Below are 24,839 nucleotides of genomic sequence, written 5' to 3' on the forward strand. Positions count from 1 at the left end.
AACTTTCATAGAGAATTGCTCAGAATTGGCCCTCAAATGGAGTCAAATGATGAACCATAAATAATCATTATATTTAATACTTATTATAAAACATTTTACTGACTAGTCAGGCCATAAATTATAGGGCTACTGTCAAGTAAATTTTAAAAGCAAATTTGAAATATTAATATCTTAGTCAAAATACCATTTTTCAGCACTATCAAAGCCTCAGAGACTAAGAGTAATTAGTTCTGCTTTAGGATTTAGAGAGATTCAGAAGATTCAAAATGGGTAACATTTTTAAGGTAGCTGGCAATCTTTGCCTATAACACAGTCTGAGCTGTCTGGGTGACTATGGAAGGAGACAATACCAATCTAGAACATCCATCTCTCTACTTTCAGAATATGTACAGTACTTATTACCTACTTTGTTGGTTCTTAACCTTTTTCAGGTTAGAATCTCTTAGAGAAAGATGACAGCTGTAGACAGTCTTCCCAAGAAAATGCATATGCTACCATACAAAATTTTGCACACAATTTCAAAGAGTTTAGCAAGTCCACAGTGGGATCAAGAATTGCTGTTCTACAATGAGAACATATGGGCACAGGGAGAGGAACATCACATACTGGGGCCTGTCAGGGGGTGGGGGGCAAGAGGAGGGATAGCATTAGGAGAAATACCTAATGTAGATGACGGGTTGATGGGTGCAGCAAACCACCATGGCACATGTATACCTATGTAACAAACCTGCACGTTCTGCACATGTATCCCAGAATTTAAAAGATAATTTTTTTAAAAAAAATGCTGTTCTATCATTCATCTCAGTTAATATGCGCTTCCTTGTATTGTTATTTATTCCCACCCATGTGTGTCCTGGCTTCACTAGATCAAAAGCTGCTCAAAGTTGGGGATGGATCTTATAACCCTCTATGTATCCATAGCCTAGGTGCATTGTTTAGCCCATGGTAGAGATTCAAATATATGCTAATAATTAAATCTTAATAGAAGGTAACTTATTTTGTGCCCACTATGGCCCAGTGCTGTTTAAGGAAATGAGGATTCAAAGATTATAAATATAAAAGCCATCCTTCAACAACTCACAGTCTAATGAAAGAGATAAATAAGTAAACATATGATTACAATGGGAGGCTTGGGGAGGCTACAGATGGTAAAACATGGGGAAAAGAGGACAGCATAGAAACTGGTGGGAACTGATACTCTCATATTCCTAGTTTTGGAGGGGATGGTAGGTTAGAAGATTAGGAAGATGGAAAACCTCCTGTAAATGAAGCACGCTTGAGCTAAGTCCAACAACAACAAAATGAGTTATGAGTTACCCAGAAGAGAGGTAAAACTGTAGAGAAGCAAAAAGAGAGAAAGCGAGCAAGAGAGAGCGACCGCGTGCGTGTCAGAGAGAGAAAGCTTGGACCAGAAAAGTATCCCTTATTTTTTTACTATTGTTTCATCCCTATAGTTAATCTAACCCTAGTCCCTAAACACCTTGTGCAAATATTGCTCCAAAGACAGAAGTCAAAATGATCATGCTAATCGAATTGTGTCAGCACAGTCTTCTTATATACTATAACAAAGGGATTTTTGCATTTATAAAGGTGACAAGTGTTACTCAAGATAGAGCTCAACTTATTTATGGAAGAGGGCTCTGAGTCCATATGTCATTCTCCTGTTCTATACTCCAAGAAAAAGGTCTGGACTGAACATATTCCACATAAATGAACCAAGAGACTTAATCACAGCCAGATGGTGTGAGTCAAGTTAAAGCTCCTTTTTTTTTTTTTTTTTTTGGTAGACTGAAGGGAAGTTAATCGTTCACTTTTGTTGGGTATTAAACTATTGATAACAGTACCATTAACTTTGATTACAGTCAGGCATTCCTTTCAGTTAAAGAAAATTGGTCAGTATAGTAGTTATCTTGTTACCAGAAATTACATGAGGTAGATTTAGACCAAAAATAACTTGATTAGAGTAGGAAACAAAAACTCATTTAGAGCTATTACCTCAAATACTTCTAAAGGTTCTGGGAAAAGGGATACGATTTGTAATTTATTTCCTCATACTTAAAAGCATGTTCAAAACTTTACAATTTAATAAGCACTTCCATTTCATCTTCACAACAGCTTTATAAGGTTGGCAGGTCAGTTATGCATTACAGATGAGTAAGCTTTGCAGGAGGCTATATGACCTGTCCTAACTCACAGGCTTAAGATAAACTGGGATTAGAAATTGATTTGACTCATATTCCAGTGCTCTTCCCTTTATTATGCTAATACAACTACACTTTCTTTATTATCCTTTAAACTGTAGTGATAAGTAGACCTTTTAGTCATCTACTATGTTGATGAAATGACCTATCGGTGCCCATCAAGGGTTCATATTTTATTCTCGGCCAGTCCGGCACATGATATAATGTTAACAATATTCTCAGTATGGCTTACATAATTCTTTCACCAAATGTCTTTCTATGTTGTAGGCTTACAAACGAATGAAGCTAAAAGAGCTTTAACATGAGCTATCAAACAACTACTATTACTCACATTTTATTATTTTGCCAAGTTTCATTCAGTGGCAGTATACCAAGCTATTCTATTTTCCATAATACCAACTCCTTGAAGAAGAGGAATTACAACATTTCCGTTGTGAAAAACAATTTCATCCTTTAATTCAGGGCTTTAGACAGCTTGGTTCTAAACTCTGACCTCATTTCTTAAGTGGGAACACAGGTGCAATTGATGAATTTTATAGCTTTAGGGAACTATATGAGTTTCCTCATGTGTTAAATCCTATTATTAAGCAAGCAATCATCTTAGTTTGGAGGCTTGGTGTTAAGCACTTTACCTCCTTACCGGTCACCTCCACCCAGGAAAAGAAGTGAAGTTCAACAAAAGCTATCTGCCCTAGTACTGCACTCAAAACCTACACCTACACCCTAAACCTCTGGCAAACTCCTGTTGCCTTGCCTCTGTTCTCGCACAGTTTCCCAACAATTTCAAAGAGGACGAATTCACTAAAGGACAGGTGACAGAAGCTCTCAGAGTGGGAGGGCTCGCGCTCTAAATCTCAAACCAGTGCGGCGACTCCCCTGACCATTCTTTAAAGCAGTCCCACCTCCCCTGATTCTAGGATGGCAGCGAGTCCCAGGAAAAAAAAAAACAAAAAACAGAAAAACTAAAACCAAGCTGCTGGAGCCCACCAATCGGTGCCAGCGCTCTCAGCCCTCCACAGCTAGACCAAAAAGGTCACTACCAGGCACCTCCCAGGGTCCCAACCTCTGCCCTCCCCACCTTTCCCTATGCCCTAAGAGCAGCTTTTCAAACAGGAAAGGATACTCCCCATATTCGACGTGGTCCCACGACTTTTCGCGGGAGGCGAGTGCCCGGGGCAGCAGCACGAGTGGGATGTGAGGTCGCCCAGAGTCCTGCGCTAGTCCTGAATAGCCGGCACGCGCAGCTACTAGGTTTGCAATCCCATTTCCTGTTTCTGCTCCTGGACCGAGGGGGCGGGGCCGGGTGCCTCCGAGGGGCGGGGCTGGTGCAACTCCAAAATGGCTGCCGCGGGGAGCGGCGATTAGAACGGGTTCCAGTCGCTTGGGGGCGTTGGGGGGCTGGAGGGCAAGAGGTTACGCGCCCCAGCTCCCACCTTGGGTCCTTCGCCTGCACCCAGTCTAACCTGGCACCTAAAGGTTTCGTCACCCAGCCAACCTTCTAGTTCTTTCTTTTGTCCTACTCCAAAGTCTTCTTAACCTTCCGCCCCACCTCTTTCCTCAGATTTCACTCTGTCCTTGGCCCCTCACCATTGTCTCAGAGTTTAAGCCTTAACGGATGAAGGAAAAAGGTATAGGGCTTTTAACGTATTTTTCAAAAAATTATAGTCGTATAAAATAAGGGTCTAAGGGATAGCGCGGCTGGTAAATTTGAGGTGTGAAGTTCACTTATGGCGTTAAAAAGCTTCGTGATCCTTAAAGTTGTAGGCTAGACTTAATAGGTAAAGTTTATGTGAAATATGTATTCGCACTAACTTTTTTTTTCAATATATATATAAGATACGAAAATTACTACAAAGTCTATAATGTGCAAGGAGGTTAAGTGAAATACTAGATAGTAGTTGGCGTTTTATATGTGACATGAAAATGTTCCAAAGTTATTAGACACTATGGATTTATGGAAAGGAAGGGCATCCTGGGAATTGTCGATTCGTTTCAATTCAAAACCCTTGGAAATTCCAAGGAAGAACTGAGATTTTGCTTTGGGGAAAACAATTAGTATATTCTCTTACTAAGGAATTTAACAAGTTTGACGAATTTTTTTCCCATCTTTAGTGTTTCAATATATAGGGGAAATAAGCATCTAATTGGATAAGTTTCTTTTTATCTTTGTTTCTTTTTGAAAGAAAGATGGATCTAAAAACTACTGTTTTACTCTTTAGTGTTAATGTAATTGGTGGTAGGCTTCAGACTGTTACCCTAACTACAAACCTTCGATGCTGGAAAAACAAACCTTTTAAAATACAAGGTTCTAGGAAAGTACAGCCTGGAAACCACTTCAGTAGGTGAAACTGTATAAAGATTGCTTTATTTTTGATGTCCCTATATATTTGAGAATTAAGACTTTACAGAAACAGATAAAACTTAGTAGATTTCATCACTGTTTGATCAGTTTCTATACTAGATAAACAGTTGTATTTCGCTGTTGGAGAACTTCTTTTGGTATAAAGATAAAAAACATTAAAAAAAAAGATTTTCCCTGGACTCTTAGTATTTTTTTAACACAGCTATTTCAAAAAAATCCATATATAGACCAGAACAATCCACTAAAGCTAAAGCATTTTCAAGTTTCATATAAAGTTCCTAGACTTATATGTAGCTAAGCTATAAGAATAAGCCTTTTTTAAAAAGTGTTTTGAAAATGTTTTGTGGAATTTCTTAAGGAAAAGGTCTTTAGGATAGGATCAGTTTTTTAGTAAAATTAAAATCTGAAGATATTTGTTGTTAGGGTATTTGTTGTTGATGTCCGCCTTAAGTAAAAGACGAATCGTAGCCTGTGCTGACCATTTAGAAAATTAAGAAGTGGTTTTTGTTTTTGTGAGTTCCAAACTAAATTTGACTCCAAAAATTTCCCTCTTGTTTTTTCTTAGATATCTGATTTCTTAAAGCGAGGTTTATATTTTTCTTAACACTTAGGCACAGAAATAGCATTATTTATTTAAAGTACATGTGTATTCATTCATTTATAACTGGTGTTGTTAAAAGCAACGAACAAATCTGTTAAAGTAAAACTTTTTATTATAGAGAAAATATAAAAAGGAAAGAAAATATAACATTTTAGTTGTATATTAAATATTGAATACCTATAAAATATTTATAAAATGTGTGTGCAAAATAAAAGCAATATTACAAATATATACTTGTGAACTATCACCCAATTTAAGCAAAAGGATATTATACCCTTTAAGTTCCCTTGTATACTCCTTTCTAATCACATTTATTTTCTTCATTTTTAGAGGCAGCTGCTGTCTTGAATTTATGTATAATTTTTCTGTTTTATAGTTGTGCTATAGTATTTGCATCTTTAACCAGCATATCCTTTAGTGATGCCTATTTTTTAATTTTGTATACATGAAATGATACTGCTTTTCTTCTTCTGTGATTTTTGTAACTCATAATGTTCCTCAACCAGGTTATTGTGCATAGGTATGGCTCGCTTATTCATTTTCACTGTTCTAGAGTTTTCCACCATATGAATATATTGTAATTTATCTGTTCTGGTGATGGACATTTGGGTCGTTTCCAGTAAATATGTTAGGATGAAATCTGGATATGCTTATTTTATCATAGTAATGATTAAGGTTAACTTTTAAAAATCCAAATGTTATCTTTAAAAATATAATTTTCCTTTTTTTTTTTGGAGTTGGAGTCTCGCTCTGTTGCCCAGGCTGGAGTGCAGTGCAATCTTGGCTCGCTGCAACTTCTGCTTCCTGGGTTCAAGAGATTCTCCTGCCTCAGCCTCCCGAGTAGCTGGGACTACAGGCCCACGCCGCCACACCCGGCTAATTTTTTGTATTTTAGTAGAGACGGGGTTTCACCGTGTTGCCCAGGCTAGTCTCAAACTCCTGAGCTCAGGCAATCCACCTGCGTCGGCCTCCCAAAGTGCTAGGATTACAGGCGTGATAATTTTCCTCTTTCACTGTAGGCACAATTATTCATTCTTTATTATATTTATTCAGATTTTTTGTTTTGGATCATCTTACATCTTGGCTTTGCTTCTTCCTGTCTACCAGATTTAGTAATACCTTCTACCCTGTTTCACCTAAATAGGTTGCTACCTTTTTCTCCTTTCACCGTTAGAACAGGGCTACAATAGTAGAGACAATAGATGTAGGATCTTCCAAATTGTTCTTTGGGGACCTAATTAACTCTACTTATGAAAGCTTAGCTAAAGTAACATCAGTCACATATTGATAAATCAGATATGGCGGATACTTAGAAGGTGTGAATTTGACTGGGATAATTGAGATGTAAAGAACCAATACAGTATCTTAACTCAGCAGCTATTGAACATGTTAAAATTTGACATGAGCAAAACTAATGTGGAAAATTGTAATTCCTCTGTAAATTGAGTAATTTTTTTATGATTAATTATGCTTAGTTCTCTAAATGTTTTGAACCCAGTGTATTACAGAGAACAAACTTTGTTTAAGTTAAAAACATTTATGAAACAATTCCAGTCAAGATTCTAAGCCACTTAATTTTTAATATTATGATTGTTTTGTGTTAACACATTTTTTGTTGTCTTCTAACAAATGATTTTAAGATGATCAGAAAATTAAATGGTACTTGACAAACTCCCATTGAAGTAAAAAGAGTTCACTAGAAATGAAGAGAGCATAGTGTCATATTTCTCAAACTTTGATGTCCTTTTTAAAAATGCAGATTACTGGGCCTCACTTCTGCAGATTCTGATAGAGTAAATTTGCAGTGAGATCCAGGAATCTGTGTTTTGCTTCTGTTTGCATAATGGAAATAAGTACTATAGAATTATACAAATCATTTATTGCATAAAATAGCTTAACTGGGCTGAAACTTAATAGTTTACAGAATGTCTCATATACATCATTTCATTTGATACCTAAGGTAATCTGAGGTAATCTGGCCAGGTATTATCCTTTATTTTTAACCAATTAGAAAAACAACAAAAAAATTCCAAAACAAACACAGCAACAACAACAAAAACAGAAGCTCAGAGAGATTATTTGGTTTGCCTAGGTATTCAACCTAGGTCTTCTTGATTCCCAGTGCAGTACTTTTGAATGTGTGTAGCAGATAGGCAAAGCAGAATCACAAATAAGACCACTTCTGTTGCTTGGTTTCTATAGCTCAGGTGCCCATTTAGTATAAGAGTAAAATGAGGACTTATTCTAGCTGACTGGAAATCTTTCTAGTTTGTATATGAAGAAATAGACTCAGTTTCCTAAAAATTTGAGAGAGGTCGAAACTGAGGGTCTTTCCTACTTATAATAGAAAAACTGTTTTTTCCCCCTGGGCAAGCAGAGTACACTTTGCTGGTTTCATAGTTCTGGTGTTTTAGGTTTAATTTGAACATTAGACTAGCCTAGAACTCTTCAAGTGACAAGTAAAAAGATTAGAGCTACAGAAGAGGTAAAGCACTATTAAGAGAAGCAAATAGATGATATTGTAGGGAACAGAAGCTTAAAGACAAGAGAAGTGGGTTTTAGTGGTGGTCACAGGTGACCTGAAAAACTATCCAATTCATAATTTGGAAGTGACAAATAAACATAAGGAGACAAGATGAGAAGCTGAATGTAGGATTTAAATGAATAGAATAAAATGAAAAAAAAAGTCTTGGAAAATTAGAAAAAATAAATCTACATGTTTACTATTTCTCAAAGTGCTAATATTTGATCTTTATTTTAATAACAAATATCACGTTTGGTGATTATAATAGATAGTTATCGGAAATATATATATATATATAGAGAGAGAGAGAGAGAGAGAGAGTTATCAAAAAGATTGTTTCTCTAAAAATCTTTGATTTTAACAGAATATCCAAGACATATAATTTCTCTTTGACAGGAAACCTTTTCAAAACTTGAATAATAAAAATGAAGTTTTATTATTACTTGAGTTGATTGATTATTAAAAGATGATATGGTAGGAAATAATAAAACATTTGCTATTATTACAGATACTTTAGGGATAATTCCAAATTAGGTTTGAGAATTGTAGGATTCAAAAATTCTTCAATGTAAGCATAGTGCTCAGAAAACTCATTTTTAATAAACATTTTCCTTATCTCTATGATTTTACTATCCAAGAGCTGTTTGAAAAAAAACTCTTAAGGGAAGAAAAAGCAAAAAGAACAGACTTATCAGAAGGGCAGGTGAGGGCAAGGTTAAAAACAAAGCAAAACAAAAAAGGCTCTCTTAAAGGACTATACTACTCTGGACTCCTGTATCCCATTTTACTGACCATAGAACCTACACATTTAATTCTAGATATGGCTTTTATTTACTGTTACTTTCTTACTACTCTTCATTCTAGATTGATTCTCGAGTCTCTAATCCAAAATCTGTCAAAGTCATGGTTGTTACTACTTTACCTGGTAATTGGTTGGAACAGAGTGTAGCATGCTTTGTAAATTTCTCAATTTCTCTTTGTTTTATTACCCACATTCTATGATTTTTGAATATTTTTTCTAAAATTTGCAATAGTATGTACCAAAATTCTCACCTCTAGATCATAGTTTCTCAAGCAGAACTGTAGACATTTCGGTCTGTACAATGTTTTGAGGAGACTGTCCTGTGTAGTGTAATACTTAGCAGCATCTCTGACCTCTACTGCCCAAATGCCAATAGCACCTTCTTTCCCAAGTTTTGACAGCCCAAAATGTCTCCAGACATTGCCAAATATCCTTTGAAGGACAGAATCACCCCCAGATAACCATTTATCTAGCTATAGAATTATCTAATGCTGTCTTTACATTAAACCAACAGACAAATGATGACAATAGCAACAGAAATATCTTTCAGCCCACTCTTTTTCAGGATTAGCCACAGCAAGAGCAAAACACCCACTCTTTTTCAGGATTAGCCACAGCAAGAGCAAAATAACAACATCATTCCTAGCTTTTGAACCAGTTTTCTAAAGTTGGTAAAATATGAATCCAATACTTTGAAGTCATTGTAAAAATTTTCACTTTGGAGGCAGTGGAAAGAACAGGGCATTTGGAATCATTCATTTGTGACTATGCACATTTGCAAAAATTCTCTGAAGTATTTACCAGAAGTGGGATTACTGAGACACAGGGTAGAAATAGCTATTTTACTGTAAATAAAAGAAATACTATTTTATATGTTAAAAGATTTTATATATTGCAAATGATGATTCAGAAAGGAGTTAAATTAGCATACATCTTACGGAAAAGCTGGCTTTTATATGGGATTTGTGCCTTAAAAGTCAGACATGACTGCTTATTTCAAAAACAGTTCAATGAAATATTGATTGCCTACTGTGTGCTCAGCATTGCTCATCTGACATTATCAGAAACAGAATACTGAGCTGGATAGACTATGGGTCTGATCCAAAATGGCTTTTATTATGTTCTTGTTCAGTCAAAAGGAAATACTATTTACAGGACAAGATCAGTGTATAAGGCAAAAGTCCATAAAGCATATCAGGTTAAATTCCTATCTGATTTGCATAGCTAGCTCTGATCTAGGTTGGTAGTATGCTTTCATCCTCTCTAAACCTCAGAATTGTAAAAACCATTGTTTGTCAGTTGTAGCTGAGGTATACTGAAAATAATTCTTTTCTTTTTTTTTTTTTTTTTTTGAGACGGAGTCTCGCTCTGTCGCCCAGGCTGGAGTGCAGTGGCGCGATCTCGGCTCACTGCAAGCTCCGCCTCCCGGGTTCACGCCATTCTCCTGCCTCAGCCTCCCGAGTAGCTGGGACTACAGGCGCCCGCTACCACGCCCGGCTAATTTTTTGTATTTTTAGTAGAGACGGGGTTTCACCGTGTTAGCCAGGATGGTCTCGATCTCCTGACCTCGTGATCCGCCCGCCTCGGCCTCCCAAAGTGCTGGGACTACAGGCGTGAGCCACCGCGCCCGGCCATAATTCTTTTCTTAAAATGTGTATTGGGTAAGGCATATGAAGATATATAGAGAAAAAATACATATCATTTAACCTACCATGTAACTAGAATAAAAGAGACATTCAATTAAAAGGTAAATTCAAAATAAGAATTTATTTTAAAAAAAGGAACTATAAGAACTATAAGTCAATCTCATGGGTACCCTTGGCCTTAGATGACAGCAACTTACTCAAATGATACTTATCAGACTTTTCATAGAACTTTACATTAAGATGTTCACTTTCACTACAACACGTCTCAAATTCCATATTTGGCCCAAAAACCATACAATTTTGTTTCATAAATGATTGTGTGTCTAAGCTGCCTGAAAATAAAACAGTGAGAGTCTATGGTAACTGAGCTCAACTGTCCCATTTCTAAGTCAGGTCCTAAACTGAGGCTTAATGAGAATGAGGCAATGATCCAGACTATATAGAAATTAATAACTTTCTATTTCTTTTTTATTCAGATTATTTGTGAAAAGAAATTATCTAACACTTCTCATCTATCTAACTGGAGTTTCACTAGCTGGAGGTAAGATAAAAAGGTTAGAGAGAAATAAATTTTTAAATTGGAGGAATAATGAGGGATTATTTAACTTGTTAAAGACCATACATCAGATTAGTGTGAATTAACCCTTTCATTTTTTATTTTAGCTTTTAGACAACCCATAATTCAAGATGTATTTATGAACAAGGTAGAAAAGAGTATCTTGAAAATTCTCTTTGACAATTATGTTAATAAATAATGTATGATTTCAATAAGCAGTTGTTCAAATTTGGAGAGAGAGAAAACATTATGTACATGTGTTTGGCAAGCATATTCTCTATTATATGATTTCTGCTTTTGTCTGTCTTTTGTTTAAACCACTAGCATTTTTTTCTGTTAGTTTCTCCTTTCTTATTAGTCTATCTTTATTTTTTTTTTTACAAATTACCATATTCATCCTCATTACAACTCTCTGGATACTTTTAAGTCAACTTTATAAAGGAAACTCTAGTTCAACCTATTTTCTATACTTTACACCCAGAATAGGATCTACAGGAATTCACAGACTGCAGTACAATTAAGATGAAGATTTAGTTAATAGTCTCATATTATACAAATGCAGCTCATACCAGGTACAGGAGTGCATTAATGCTCAGATATTACATGTTTCTTGATATTTGCTAGAAACCTATTAACTTCTGACAAGGTGCCATCTACAAATTTGGTATTGAACATTCAGAGTGGTGCAGTCACTGTGGCATCCCCTAGTAAACAACTTTGGTTAAAACATAAATTGTTATTATATTTTAATATGTGTGCCTTATTTCTTTAATTAGTTTATAACTTTCTTTAGGACCAGGTCATTTTATTTCTTTTTTTTTTTTTTTTTTTGTCTGAGATGGAATTTCACTCTTGTCGCCCTGGCTGGAGTGCAATGGCACGATCTCGGCTCACCGCAACCTCCGCCTCCTGGGTTTAAGCGATTCTCCTGCCTCAACCTCCCGAGTAGCTGGGATTACAGGCATGCACCACCACACCCAGCTGATTTTTTTGTATTTTTAGTAGAGACAGGGTTTCTCCATGTTGGTCATGCTGGTCTTGAACTCCCGACCTCAGGTGATCTGCCCACCTCAGCTTCCCAAAGTGCTGGGATTACAGGCATGAGCCACCGCGCCTGGCCCATTTTATTTCTTATATGACTTTGGACACCTGGAACCAACAGAACTCCTTGCAAATAGTTTAAACTTTGTATACTTTTAATGGTTTATTTTTTTAATTAGTCACCTTTTATTTTAGGTTCAGGGGTTACATGTGCAGATTTGTTACATGGGTAAATAGCAAGTTGCTGGGGTTTGGTATACAAATTATTTTGTTACCTGGTAGAGTGAACATAGTACCCAATAGGTACTTTTTTGAATCTCAGTCTCCTTCCACCCTCCTCCCTCAAGTAGGCCCTGGTGTCGGTTTTTCCCCTCTGAATCAATGGGTACTCAAGGTTTAGTTCCCACTTATGAGTGAGAACATGTGGTATTTGGTTTTCTTTTCCTGAATTAATTCCCTTAGGATAATGGCCTCAAGATGCATCTATGTTGCTGCAAATGACATGATTTTATTCTTTCTTATGGCTGTGTAACATTCCATGGTGTATATGTACCACATTTTCTTTATCTAGTCCGCCGTTGATGGGTACCTGAGTTGATTCCATCTCTTTGCTATTGTGAATAGTGTTGTAGTTAACATATGAGTGCATGGGTCATTTTGGTAGAACAATTTATATTTCTTTGGGTGTATACCCAGTGATAAGATTGCTGGGTCAAATGGTAGTTCTGTGTTAAAGTTTTTTGAGAAATCTCTAAACTGCTTTCCACAGTGGCTGAACTAATTTACATTCCCACCAGCAGTATGTAAGCATTCCCTTTTCTCTGCAAACTCACCAACATCTGTTATTTTTTGTTTTTTTTTTAATAATAGCCATACTGACTGGCGTGAGATGGTATATCTTATGGTTTTGATTTGCATTTCTCTGATGATTAATGAAGATGAGCATTTTTTTCTTATGCTTGTTGATCATATATGTGTCTTCTTTTTTCCTGATAATACTTTAGTTCAATTGTCACAAGGTTATTGAACTTCAATAACTTTGATATTCATGGATCATAGCAGAAGTGGTAGTGCTTAGTAATGTTCCATGAGTAGCACTCTTCTAGGTTAAGCACACATTTCAAAAAGAAGTTTCAATAAACAATTTCTTAAATAATATTAAGAATAGAAATGTTATATTCTCAATTAAATATTATTACCTGTTTGCTTAAGAGACCCCTTCCCAAGCAAAAGATTAATTTAGATACTTTGAAGCCTGTGAACACTAATTTTAACCCATGTTAGTTTCCAGTGCTTTTCATTCATAGCACAAACTCAATGTCAGTACCTCTTATATGTGCTCTTATACTTAGAAGATCTAGGTCTTTACCTATAAACATAGAAAGAATAAAGAACACTCACTTTTAAAAACAGAATTACTCTCAATAAAATAATGTTTATTTATAATGAGTACTAGTACTCAGAAATAGTGACAGTTTAAGAAACTAGCTGCTTCCTCAAAGAATGGTCAGAAAAGTTGGAACGTTTTTTATTCTTGTTACCTCCCCTTACACCTTTATATAGTTCTTTGTCATATGTCTAGTTTTTCTTGCTATATCCTATATCCCTATATATCCTATATCCCTATATCCATGTATCATCAGAGATTCCAGAGATTCCTTCCAGTTTCGCTTGAGAGTCCCTTTGTAAAATGCCAGACCATTTCCCCTTTGTCCTCACCTCTTCATCTTCCTTAGAACTTAATTCCTAAGGGGATCTTGAAAGATCCACCAAACATTCCAGTAGGTCTTGTAACTGGCAAATTCCTTTTGGAGTGCAGACTATTTGACCTGAGACATCTTTCTTCATCACCTGGGGTCACAATCCAGGTGCATATTGGAGGTGAGAAGTTGCAACATGATGAGGAGTCTACCTAGCATATCATCACTGTGATAAAGTGGGAAAGGTGCTCCCAGGGATTACCCTGTTAGCATCCCTGCCTTACTTGTCCCACTTTAATTTTCCAAACATATGAGTGATTGTTGATAGAAGGATTCCGTTTTTCCTGCATATTCTCTGGAGCAATAGAAACTAGGATATCCATTTATCATTTTGTCTTCAAGCCCTCTCTGTAGCAAATCTTGGCTCTCTCTTTAGCCAGCTTAGCTTCTCCTCTTTTCTTTCTATTGCCAGAGTTGCCTGGTTAGAGCTTACAATGGTAATCTGCAGGGTTTCCATAAGGGTCCCTTTTGCCCTTGCTCTAATTCTCTTGTCACTCTGGCTTTCACCATGACCAAACTGAAGAAAGACCATTTTGTCCTAATCCAGTGTCTTCCTTGCCTTTTTACGTCCTCCCTCCCCAGTTATTGAGAAGTAACTCCTACATTTTTCATTCCTATTCTTGTCTATTTAATAACCCTGTGTATAGATCTGTTATAGTCATATTCTTCATTTGACTGACCCTGGTAATCACTGAACAGTTATAAACCTTCAAGAATTGTCATTTAAATGGAATCATACAGCATGTAATGTTATGTGACTGGCTTCTTTAACTCAGCATAATGCCTTTGGGATTCATCTATAAGTGGTTCACTGTATAAAAAGTGTATTCTTTTTTATTACTGAGTAGTATCCCATTATATGAATGTACCAAGTTTGTTTGTCCATACACCTGCTGAAAGATATTTCGGTTATTCCCAAATATCTTTGGGATATTTACAAATATAACTGCTGTGTATATTGATATACCAACAGCCAGGTGTGAGATTGCCGGGGCATGTGATAAGCGTGCTTAACTTTATAAGAAACTTCAAAACTGTTTTCTGGAGTTGTGATACCATCTTGCATTCTTACCAGCACTATACAAGAGTTCTAGTTGTCACATACCTTCACTGGCACTGAGTATTGTCATTATCTTTTATTTTAGATATTCTTATAGGTATGTGCTTGTATCTCATCATGTTTTTTATTTGCATTTATCTAAAGGCTCATGATAGTGCGCAGCTTTAATGTGCTTGTCATATTTATATCATGTTTAGTCAAGTGTCTGTTGATTATTTTGTTTATTTTTTTGTTTTTTACTTTAAGTTCTGGGATACATGTGCTGAATGTACAGGTTTGTTATATAGGTATACATGTGCCATGGTGGTTTCCTGCACCTATCAACTCATCATCTCGGTTTTCAGCCCCGCATGCATTAGGTATTTGTCCTAATGCTCTCCCTCCCCTTTCCCCCCAGCCCTGGACAGGCCCTGGTGTGTGATGTTCCCCTCCCTGTGTCTATGTGTTCTCATTGTTTGGCTCCCACTTATGAGTGAGAACATGAGGTGTTTGGTTTTCTCTTCCTGTGTTAGTTTGCGAGGATGATGGTTTCCAGCTTCATCCATGGCCTTGCAAAGGACATGAACTCATTCTTTTTTATGGCTGCATAGTATTCCGTAGTGTATATGGGCCACATTTTCTTTATCCAGTATATCATTGATGGGCATTTGGGTTGGTTCCAAGTCTTTGCTATTGTAAATATTGCTGCAATAAACATATGTGTGCATGTTTCTTTATAGTAGAATGATTTATAATCCTGTGGGTATATACCCAGTAATGGTATTGCTGGGTCAAATGGTATTCCTGGTTCTAGATCCTTGAGGAATTGCCACACTTTCTTCCACAATGGTTGAACTAATTTACACTCCCACCAACAGTGTAAAAGCATTCCTATTTCTCCACATCCTTAACCAGCATCTGTTGTTTCCAGACTTTTTAATGATGGCCATTCTAACTGGTGTGAGATGTTATCTCATTGTGGTTTTGATTTGTATTTCTCTAATAACCAGTGATGATGAGCTTTTTTTATGTTTGTTAGCCACATAAATGTCTTGAGAAATGTCTGTTCATATCCTTTGCCCACTTTTTGATGGGGTTGTTTGGTTTTTTTCCTGTAAATTTGTTTAAGTTCCTTGTAGACTCTGGATGTTAAACGTTTGTCAGATGGATAGATTGCAAAAATTTTCTCCCATTCTGTAGGTTGCCTGTTCACACAGATGATAGTTTCTTTTGCTGAGCAGAAGCTCTTTAGTTTAATTAGATCTCATTTGTCAGTTTTGGCTTTTGTTGCAATTGCTTTAGGTGTTTTAGTCATGAAGTCTTTGCCCATGCCTACGTCCTGAATGGTATCTCCTAGGTTTTCTTCTATGGTTTTTATAGTTTCAGGTTTTACATTTAAGTCTTTAACACATCTTGAGTTAATATTTGTGTAGTGTGTAAGGAAGGGGTCTGGTTTCTGTTTTCTGCATGTGGCTAGCCAGTTTTCCCAGCACCATTTATTAAATAGGGAATCCTTTCCCCATTGCTTGTTTTTCTCAGATTTGTTGAAGATAACATGGTTGTAGATGTGTGGTGTTATTTCTGAGGCCTCTGTTCTATTCTGTTGGTCTATATATCTGTTTTGGCACCAGTATCATGCTGTTTTTGTTTTGGTTACTGTAGCCTTGTATAGTTTGAAGTCAGGTAGCATGATGCCTATAGCGTTGCTCTTTTTGCTTAAGATGGTCTTGGCTCTTTTTTGGTTCCATATGAAATTTAAAGTAGTTTTTTCTAATTCTGTGAAGAAAGTCAATCGTAGCTTGATGGGGATACCCTTGAATCTGTAAATTACTTTGGTCAGTATGGCCATTTTCACGATATTGATTCTTCCTATCCATGAGCATGGAATGTTTTTCCATTTGTTTGTGTCCTCTCTTATTTCCTTGAGCAGTGGTTTATAGTTCTCCTTGAAGAGGTCTTTCACATCCCTTGTAAGTTGGATTCCTAGGTATTTTATTCTCTTGGTAGCAATTGTGAATGGGAGTTCACTCATGATTTGGCTCTCTGTTTGTGGTGTATAGGAATGCTTATGATTTTTGCCCATTGATTTTGTATCCTGAGACTTTGCTGCAGTTGTTTATCAGCTTAAGGATATTTTGGGCTGAGACGGTGGGGTTTTCTAAATATAAAATCACGTCATCTGCAAACCAAGACAATTTGACTTCCCCTCTTCCTATTTGAATGCCCTTTATTTCTTTCTCTTGCATGATTGCTCTGGCCAGAACTTCCAATGCTATGTTGAATGGGAGTGGTGAGAGAGGGCATCCTTGTCTTGTGCCGGTTTTCAAAGTGAATGCTTCCAGCTTTTGCCCATTCAGTATGATATTTGCTGTGGGTTCGTTAGAAATAGCTCTTATTATTTTGAGATATGTTCCATCAATACCAAGTTTACTTAGAGTTTTTAACATGAAGGGGTGTTGAATTTTATTGAAGTCCTTTTCTGCATCTATTGAGATAATCACGTGGTTTTTGTCATTGGTTCTGTTTATGTGTTAGATTACTTTTATTGATTTATGTATGTTGAATCAGCCTTGAATCCCAGGGATGAAGCCATCTTGATTGTGATGGATAAGCTTTTTGATGTGCGGCTGGATTCGGTTTGCCAATATTTTATTGAGGATTTTCACATCTATGTTCATCAACGATACTGTCTTGAAATTTTTTTGTTGTTTTGTCTCTACCAGATTTTGGAATCAGGATGATGCTGGCCTCATAAAATGAGTTAGCGGGGAGTCCCTCTTTTTCTATTGTTTGGAATAGTTTCAGAAGGAATGGTACCAGCTCCTCTTTGTACCTCTGGTAGAATTCGGCTGTTATTCTGTCTGGTCCTGGGCTTTTTTTGGTTGGTAGTCTGTTAATTACTGCCTCAATTACAGAACTTGTTATTGGTCTATTCAGGGATTCGACTTCTTCCTGGTTTAGTCTTGGGATGGTGTATGTGTTCAAGAATTTATCCATTGCTTCTAGATTTTCTAGTTTATTTGCATAGAGGTGTGTATAGTATTATCTGATGGTAGTTTGTATTACTGTGGGATCAATGGTGTTTCCCCTTTATAATTTTTTATTGTGTCTGTTTGATTCTTCTCTCTTTTCTTCTAGTCTGGCTAGTGGTCTATTTTGTTAATCTTTTAAAAAAAAACAAGCTCCTGGAATCATTGATTTTTTGAAGGGTTTCTCGTGTCTCTATCTCCTTCAGTTCTGCTCTAATCTTAGCTATTTCTTGTCTTCTGCTAGCTTTTAAATTTGTTTGCTCTTGCTTCTCTAGTTCTTTTAATTGTGATGTTAGGGTGTCGATATTAGATCTTTCCTGCTTTCTGATGTGGGCATTTAGTACTTTAAATTTCCCTCTAAACACTGCTTTACCTGTGTCCCAGAGATTCAGGTACATTGTCTCTTTGTTCTCGTTGGTTTCAAAGAACTTCATTATTTTTGCCTTAATTTCATTATTTACCCTATAGTCATTCAGGAACAGGTTGTTCAGTTTCCATGTAGTTGTGCAGTTTTGAGTGAGTTTCTTAATCCTGAGTTCTAATTTGATTGCACTGTGGTCTGAGAGGCTGTTATGATTTCTGTTCTTTTGCATTTGCTGAGGAGTGTTTTACTTCCAATTATGTGGACGATTTTAGAATAAGTGCTATGTGCTTCTGAGAAGAATGTATATTCTGTTGATTTGGGGTGGAGAGTTCTGTAGATGTCTACTAGGTCTGCTTGGTCCAGAGCTGAGTTCAAGTCTTGAATATCCTTGTTAATTTTCTGTCTTGTTGATCTGCCTAATATTGACAGTGGGGCGTTAAAGTCTCCCACTATTATTGTGTGGGAGTCTAAGTCTCTTTGTAGTTCTCTAAGAACTTGTTTTATGAATCCAGTTGTTCCTCTTTTGGGTGCATATTTATTTAGGTTAGTTAGCTTTTCTTGTTGCATTGACCCCTTTTCCATTACATAATGCCCTTCTTTGTCTTTTTTTTATCTTTGTTGGTTTAAAGTCTTTTTTATCACAGGCTAGTATTGCCACCACTGCTTTTTTTTGCTTTCCATTTGCTTGATAAATATTCCCCCATCCCCTTATTTTGAGCCTATCTGTGTCTTTGCACGTGAGATGGGTCTCCTGAATATAGCACACCGATGGGTCTTGTCTCTTTATCCAATTTGGCAGTTTGTGTCTTTTAATTGGGTCATTTAGTCCATTTACATTTAAGGTTAATATTGTTATTTGTGAATTCGATCCTGTCATCATGATGCTAGCTGATTATTTTGCACATTAGTTGATGCAGTTTCTTCATAGTGTCATTGGTCTTTATATTTTGGCTTGTTTTTGCAGTTGCTGGTACTGGTTTTTCCTTTCCGTATTTAGTGCTTCCTTCAGGAGCTCTTGTATGTCAAGTCTGGTGGTGACAAAATCCCTCAGTATTTGCTGTCTGCAAAGGATTTTATTTCTCCTTCAGTTATGAAACTTAGTTTGGCTGGATATTAAATTCTGGGTTGAAAATTCTTTAAGAATGTTGAACATTGGCCTCCATTCTCTTCTAGTTTGTAGCGTTTCTGCAGAGAGATACGCTGTTAGTCTGATGGGCGTACCTTTGTAGGTAACCTGACCTTTCTTTCTGGCTGCCGTTAACATTTTTTCCTTCATTTCAACCTTGGAGAATCTGACGATTATGTGTCTTGGGGTTGCTCTTCTCAAGGAGTATCTTAGTGGTGTTCTCTATATTTCCTGAATTTGAATGTCGGCCTGTCTTGCTAGGTTGGGGAAGTTCTCCTAGTTAATATCCTGAAGTGTGTTTTTCAACTTGGTTCAATTCTCCCTATCACTTTCAGGGACCCCAATCAATCGTAGGTTTGGTCTTTTTACATAGTCCCATATTTCTTGGAGGCTTTGTTCATTCCGTTTCAATGTTTTTTTTTTCTCAAATCTTGTCTTCACTCCTCATTTCAGTAAGTTGATCTTCAGTCTCTGATATTCTTTCTTCTGCTTGATTGATTCGGCTGTTGATACTTGTGTATGCTTCACGAAGTTCTTGTGCTGTGTTTTTCAGCTCCATCAGATCATTTATTTTCTTCTCTAAACTGGTTATTCTAGTTAGCAGTTCCTGTCACCTTTGTCAGGGTTCTTAGCTTCCTTGCATTCAGTTAGAACATGCTCCTTTAGCTCAAAGGGGTTTGTTATTACCCAACTTCTGAAGCCTACTTCTGTCAACTCATCAAACTCATTCTCTGTCCAGTTTTGCGCCCTTGCTGGAGAGGAGTTATGATCATTTGGAGGAGAGGAGGCGTTCCGGTTTTTGGAATTTTCAGTCTTTTTGTGCTGGTTTTTCCTCGTGTTCGTGGATTTATCTACCTTTGATCTTTGAGGTTGATGACCTTGGATGAGGTTTCTGTGTGGGGGTTCTTTTTGTTGATGTTGATGTTATTGCTTTCTGTTTGTTAGTTTTTCTTCTGACAGGCCCCTCTTCTGCAGCTCTGCTGCAGTTTGCTGGAGGTCTACTCTAGACCCTATTTGCTTGGGTATCACTAGTGGAGGCTGCAGAACAGCAAAGACTGTGGCCTGTTCCTTTCTCTGGAAGCTTCGTCCCAGAGGGGCACCAGCCTGATACCAGCCAGAGCTCTCCTGTATGAGGTATCTATCAACCCTTGTTGGGAGGTATTCTCCCAGTCAGGAGGCATGAGGGTCAGGGACCCACTTGAGGAGGCAGTCTGCCCCTTAGCAGAGCTGGAGTGCTATAATGGTAGAATCCTCCTTTTCTGGATCTGCTGCTTTCTTCAGAGCTGGCAGGCAGGAATGTTTAAGTCTGCTGAAGTTACGCCCACAGCCCCCGCTTCCTCCAGGTGCTCTGTCCCAGTGAGATGGGAGTTTTATCTATAAGCCACTGACAGGCTGCTGCCTTTCTTTCAGAGATGCCCTGCCCAGTGAAGAGGAATCTAGAGAGGCAATCTGGCCATAGCCGCTTTGCCACGCTTTGTTGAGTTCTGCCCAGTGCGAACTTGCAGGCCTTTTTAGCGCTGTCGGGGGAAAACCACCTACTCAAGCCTCAGTAATGGTGGATGGCCTTCCCCCCACCAAGCTCCGTTGTTCCAGGTGGACTTCAGACTGCTTTGCTGGCAACAAGAATTTCAAGCCAGTGGTTCTTAGCTTGCTGGGCTCTTTGGGAGTGGGACCTATTGAACGAGACCACGTGGCTCCCTGGCTTCAGCCCCCTTTCCAGGGGAATGAATGCTTCTGTCTCTATGGGGTTCCAGGTGCCGCTGGAGTACGAAGCAAACAAACAAAAAAAAAAAAAAAAAAAAAAAAAACTCCTGCAGCTAGCTTAGTGTCTGCCTGAACAGCTGCCCAGTTTTGTCCTTGAAACCCAGGGCTCTGATGGTAGAGGCACACGAAGGAATTTCCTGGTCTGTGGACTGGAAAAACCATAGGAAAAGTGTAGTATCTGGGCCGGATAGCGCAGTCTCTCATGGCTTCCCTTGGCTGGGGGAGGGAGGCCCCCAACTCATTGCACTTCCTGGGTGAGTCAACAGCCCACCCTGCTTCTGCTTACCCTCCGTGGGCTGCACCCACTGCCTAACCAGTCCCAATGAGATGAACAGGCTACCTCAGTTGGAAATGCAGAAATCACCTGCCTTCTGCATTGGTCTCCCTGGAAGCTGCAGACTGGAGCTGTTCCTATTCTGCCATCTTGCCAGCAGCCCTTGTTTACTTTTTAATTGGTTTGTCTTATTCTTAAGTTTTGAGATATCTTTGCATATTCTGGCTATAAGTTCTTTGTAAGATGTGTGACTTGCAAATATTATCTCCCAGTTTATGGCTTGTTCTTTCATTATCTTATTTTTTAACTTTTATTTTACTTTCAGGGATACATATGCAGGTTTGTTCAATAGATAAATTGTGTTTCATGGGAGTTTGGTTTACATATTATTTTGTCACCCAGGCAATAAGCATAGTACCCTATAGGTAGTTTTTTTTAAATTTTCGCCCTCCTCCTATCCTCTACCTTCATCTAGGCCCTGGTGTCTATTGTGCCCTTCTTTGTGTCTATGTGTACTCAATGTTTAGCTCCCTTATAAGTGAGAGCATGTGGTGTTTGCTTTTATTTTCCTGTGTTAGCTTACTTAGGATACTTACCTCTAGCTCCATCCATGTTGCTGCAAAGGAGATGATCTCATTCTTTTTATGGCTGCATAGTATTCCATGGTGTGTGTGTACCCCATTTTTTAATCCAGTCTACCACTGATGGTCATTGAGTTTGATTCCATGTCTTTGCTATTGTGAATATTGCTAAAATGAACATATGCATGCATGTGTCTTTATGGTAGAACATTGTATATTCCTTTGGGTATACACCCAACACTGGAATTGCTGGGTTGAATGGTAGATCTGCTTTAAATTCTTAGAGACATTGCCAAACTGCTTTTCACAGTGGCTGAACTAATTTACATTCCCACCTGGAGTGTACAAGCATTCCCTTGTTTCCACAGCTTTGGCAGAATGTGTTATTATTATTATTTTTTTTTACTTTTGAACAGTTACCATTCTGTCTGGTATGAAATGGTATCTCATTGTGGCTTTGATTTGCATTTTCCTTATGATTAGTGATGTTGAGCATTTTTTCATATGCTTGCTGGCCACATGTATGTCTTCTTTACAAAAGTGTCTGTGACCCGTCAGTTTTTCCTACCTGCCTTCAAGAATTTTTCTTTTGTATTGACTTTGGAGAATCTAATGACTATGTGTCTTGGGGACAGTCGTCTTGTATGGTATCTCACAGGGGTTCTTTAAATTTGCATGTTGATCTCTCTAGTGAGGTTGAAGAAATTTTTGTGGACAATATCCTCAGATACGTTTTCCAAGTTGTTTGCTCTCTCTCCATGTCTTTCAGGACGGCCAGTGAATCATAGGTTTGGTCTCTTTACCCCATATTTCTTGGGGATTTTGTTCAATTTCCTACTTTTTAAAATTTTTATCTACCTGCATTGATTCACAGGAGGGGTCTTCAAGCTGTGAAATTCTTTCCTCAGCTCAATCTATTCTGTTATTAATGTTTCCAATGCTTTCTGAAATTCCTATAGTGATTTTTTCTTTTCCAGAAGTTCAGTTTGGTTCTTTCTTAAAATGGCAATGTTATCTTTCAATTCTTGGACTGTTTTACTGTATTTTTTGGATTGGGTTTCAACCTTCTGTATGTCAATGAGCTTCCTTGCTATCCAGATTCTGAATTCTATGCCTGTCATTTCATCCATTTCAGTCTGGTTAAGAGCCACTGCTGGGGAGCTACTGCATTCGTTTGGAGGAAGGAAAACACTCTGGCTTTTAGAGTGGACAGAGTTCTTGCGCTGTTTTTTGTTTTTGTTTTAGTTTGTTGTTGTTTTTAATCATCTGTGTGGGCGGATGTTCTTTTAATGTTTGAAGTTGCTGTCTTTTCGATGGGGCGTTTTACTTTTATTCCATGATGCCCTTCAGGGTTTGATTGTGACATGAGTTGCATTTAGTCAATTAGTTTTGTTCCCGGATGCTTTCAGGGGGCAAGTGCTCAGCTCAGCACAGCACACCTGGGCCATTTGTTCTAACCCCGAGGGCTTTGACCAGAACCACAGCTTTGTTCTCTGGCCCCTTGAAGTTAAGCACCTGCTACACTAGAGTGGCAGAGGTGTTTTCAGTCAGCTGGCAATAACACTCCAAAAGGGGCTGCTGGCAAATTCTACTGGCAGAGCAGTAGCTAGTCATGGGTGAGTGAGCTCTAGTGGGGTTCCGCCTGCAAAAGCACTTTGATGGGTAGCTGGGCTTTGCTGGCAAAAGAGCTGTAATGGTGACTGCTGACACGCACTTTGACTGGGCAGCTGAGACTGTTTTGCAAGTGGGTATGGCCAGGCAGAGGCTCTGGGAGAGGCCAGCAGACCACAGGGGTGCTGAGATTAGACTGGCCCTGTCCCACGGCCAAGATAACCCTGCTCTGTCCAGGTCCAGCAGCTAACAAGGGATAAAGCCACCTAAAGGAATATGGCAAGCCTTGGGAGATGGTTGCCTATGGCCATGCTCCACTGCAGCTGTTCCTGGGCCAAACCTTCTGGGCTCTGCACAGGCTGGAATTATGTCTCTGCCAACTCTCCAGGCAATTTTCTCTGGCAGCTCAAATGTCTGTGGGGGTCGTTGGGTCTCCTACAGCTTGAATTCTGCAGGTTTGTGACCATAGTGAGCCATTCTATTCCCTTTTCACTTACCTCTTTTCTAGAGCTGCTGGGGGCCAGGAATGATTCCTGTTGCTCCACAACCCTGTGTAGGGTTCCCAGCTTCCTCCCTTTTCAGCCTGGGGTCTGCAACCTCTTTCTGTCTACTTTCAGTACATTCTTTCCAAAGATCCGTTAGGAGTGGGCCAGTCTACTTGATGCTGTGGTCTCTCTTGGTAGGAGAAGCTCTTCCCAGCTGGTCTAGTTGACCTTCTTGGCTCTTGTTTATTTACCAACTTCTAGGGTGTCCCGGTATCCTATCTGTGGAACTCCCAGTACCTGCAGTTCATGGGGCCACAGAGGCCAAGGCAGAGCCACCTGGTGAGTGCCAAAGCCAAGAAGATGCAGCCATGGAGATGAGACCCCATCTAGGAAGGCAGTCCCACTTTAAATATTTTGAGGTTTTGTTATTACTTTTTTATATTAGAGCTATTCCTTTTATTCAGAGATAGAACTGTCTTCATATTCAGTTACATATCGGTAATTTGGAGAAATATGCAAATGTTTGAGGGGTAAGAAATTTGGAAAAGATAGAAGGCTTAGAAGAGAAACTCCTAGTTTATTTACAACAGACAAAAATGTCTGTTAAAATCATCTTTCTCCTTAAGTGAATATATCTAAAGTTGAGAGTAGCCTATTCAATATAAATAACAGAGTCTTTTGGCTACTTTTGGTATCAGTAACAGCATGAATCAGCTTCAAACAAAATGACGAGTGTAAAATAGTCTCTTATGAGCCATAGGTGTCTTTGGGCAAATAATGAGAAAAACTGATCAATTTTGGTGCTAGTAAAATTGTTCCTGATTTTATGAATCTGATCTCTTTATGAATGGTGTAATTACAAGTTAGTTGACTGATCTTATAATTTTACAGTTATTAAATATATATTAGTTAGAACACCCTTCTTGTTAGATTACTTTTTAAGAGAAATGTATTATCCTAACGCAAAAGATTCTTATTGTGAATATCTTGAAAAGAACTTACGATACCAATATAGTTAAGTATTAAAGGAAGCAAGTTCTGTTTTATTAATATTTTTAATTATATATTAAGAA

At 38.0% G+C, this 24,839-nt stretch overlaps 1 protein-coding gene and 1 pseudogene across 2 annotated transcripts in view; one reads left to right on the forward strand and one right to left on the reverse strand.

The window, feature by feature from the left end:
* CHMP1B2P (charged multivesicular body protein 1B2, pseudogene) overlaps positions 1-3,431 on the reverse strand; it is a 106,830-nt pseudogene extending 103,399 nt beyond the window's left edge. The window contains exon 1 of the transcript NR_110646.1: positions 3,329-3,431. The product of NR_110646.1 is annotated as a charged multivesicular body protein 1B2, pseudogene (transcript). The remainder of the gene's footprint in view (positions 1-3,328) is intronic.
* The window catches only part of TENT5D (terminal nucleotidyltransferase 5D), a 109,806-nt gene continuing 88,583 nt past the window's right edge, over positions 3,617-24,839 (forward strand). The window contains exons 1-3 of the mRNA NM_001170574.2: positions 3,617-3,677; positions 3,763-3,829; positions 10,613-10,677. The gene's annotated coding sequence lies outside the window, so the exon portion shown is untranslated. The remainder of the gene's footprint in view (positions 3,678-3,762; positions 3,830-10,612; positions 10,678-24,839) is intronic.

The sequence above is a fragment of the Homo sapiens genome, chromosome X (assembly GCF_000001405.40).
Source record: "Homo sapiens chromosome X, GRCh38.p14 Primary Assembly".
In the NCBI taxonomy this organism is placed as follows: Eukaryota; Metazoa; Chordata; class Mammalia; order Primates; family Hominidae; genus Homo; species Homo sapiens.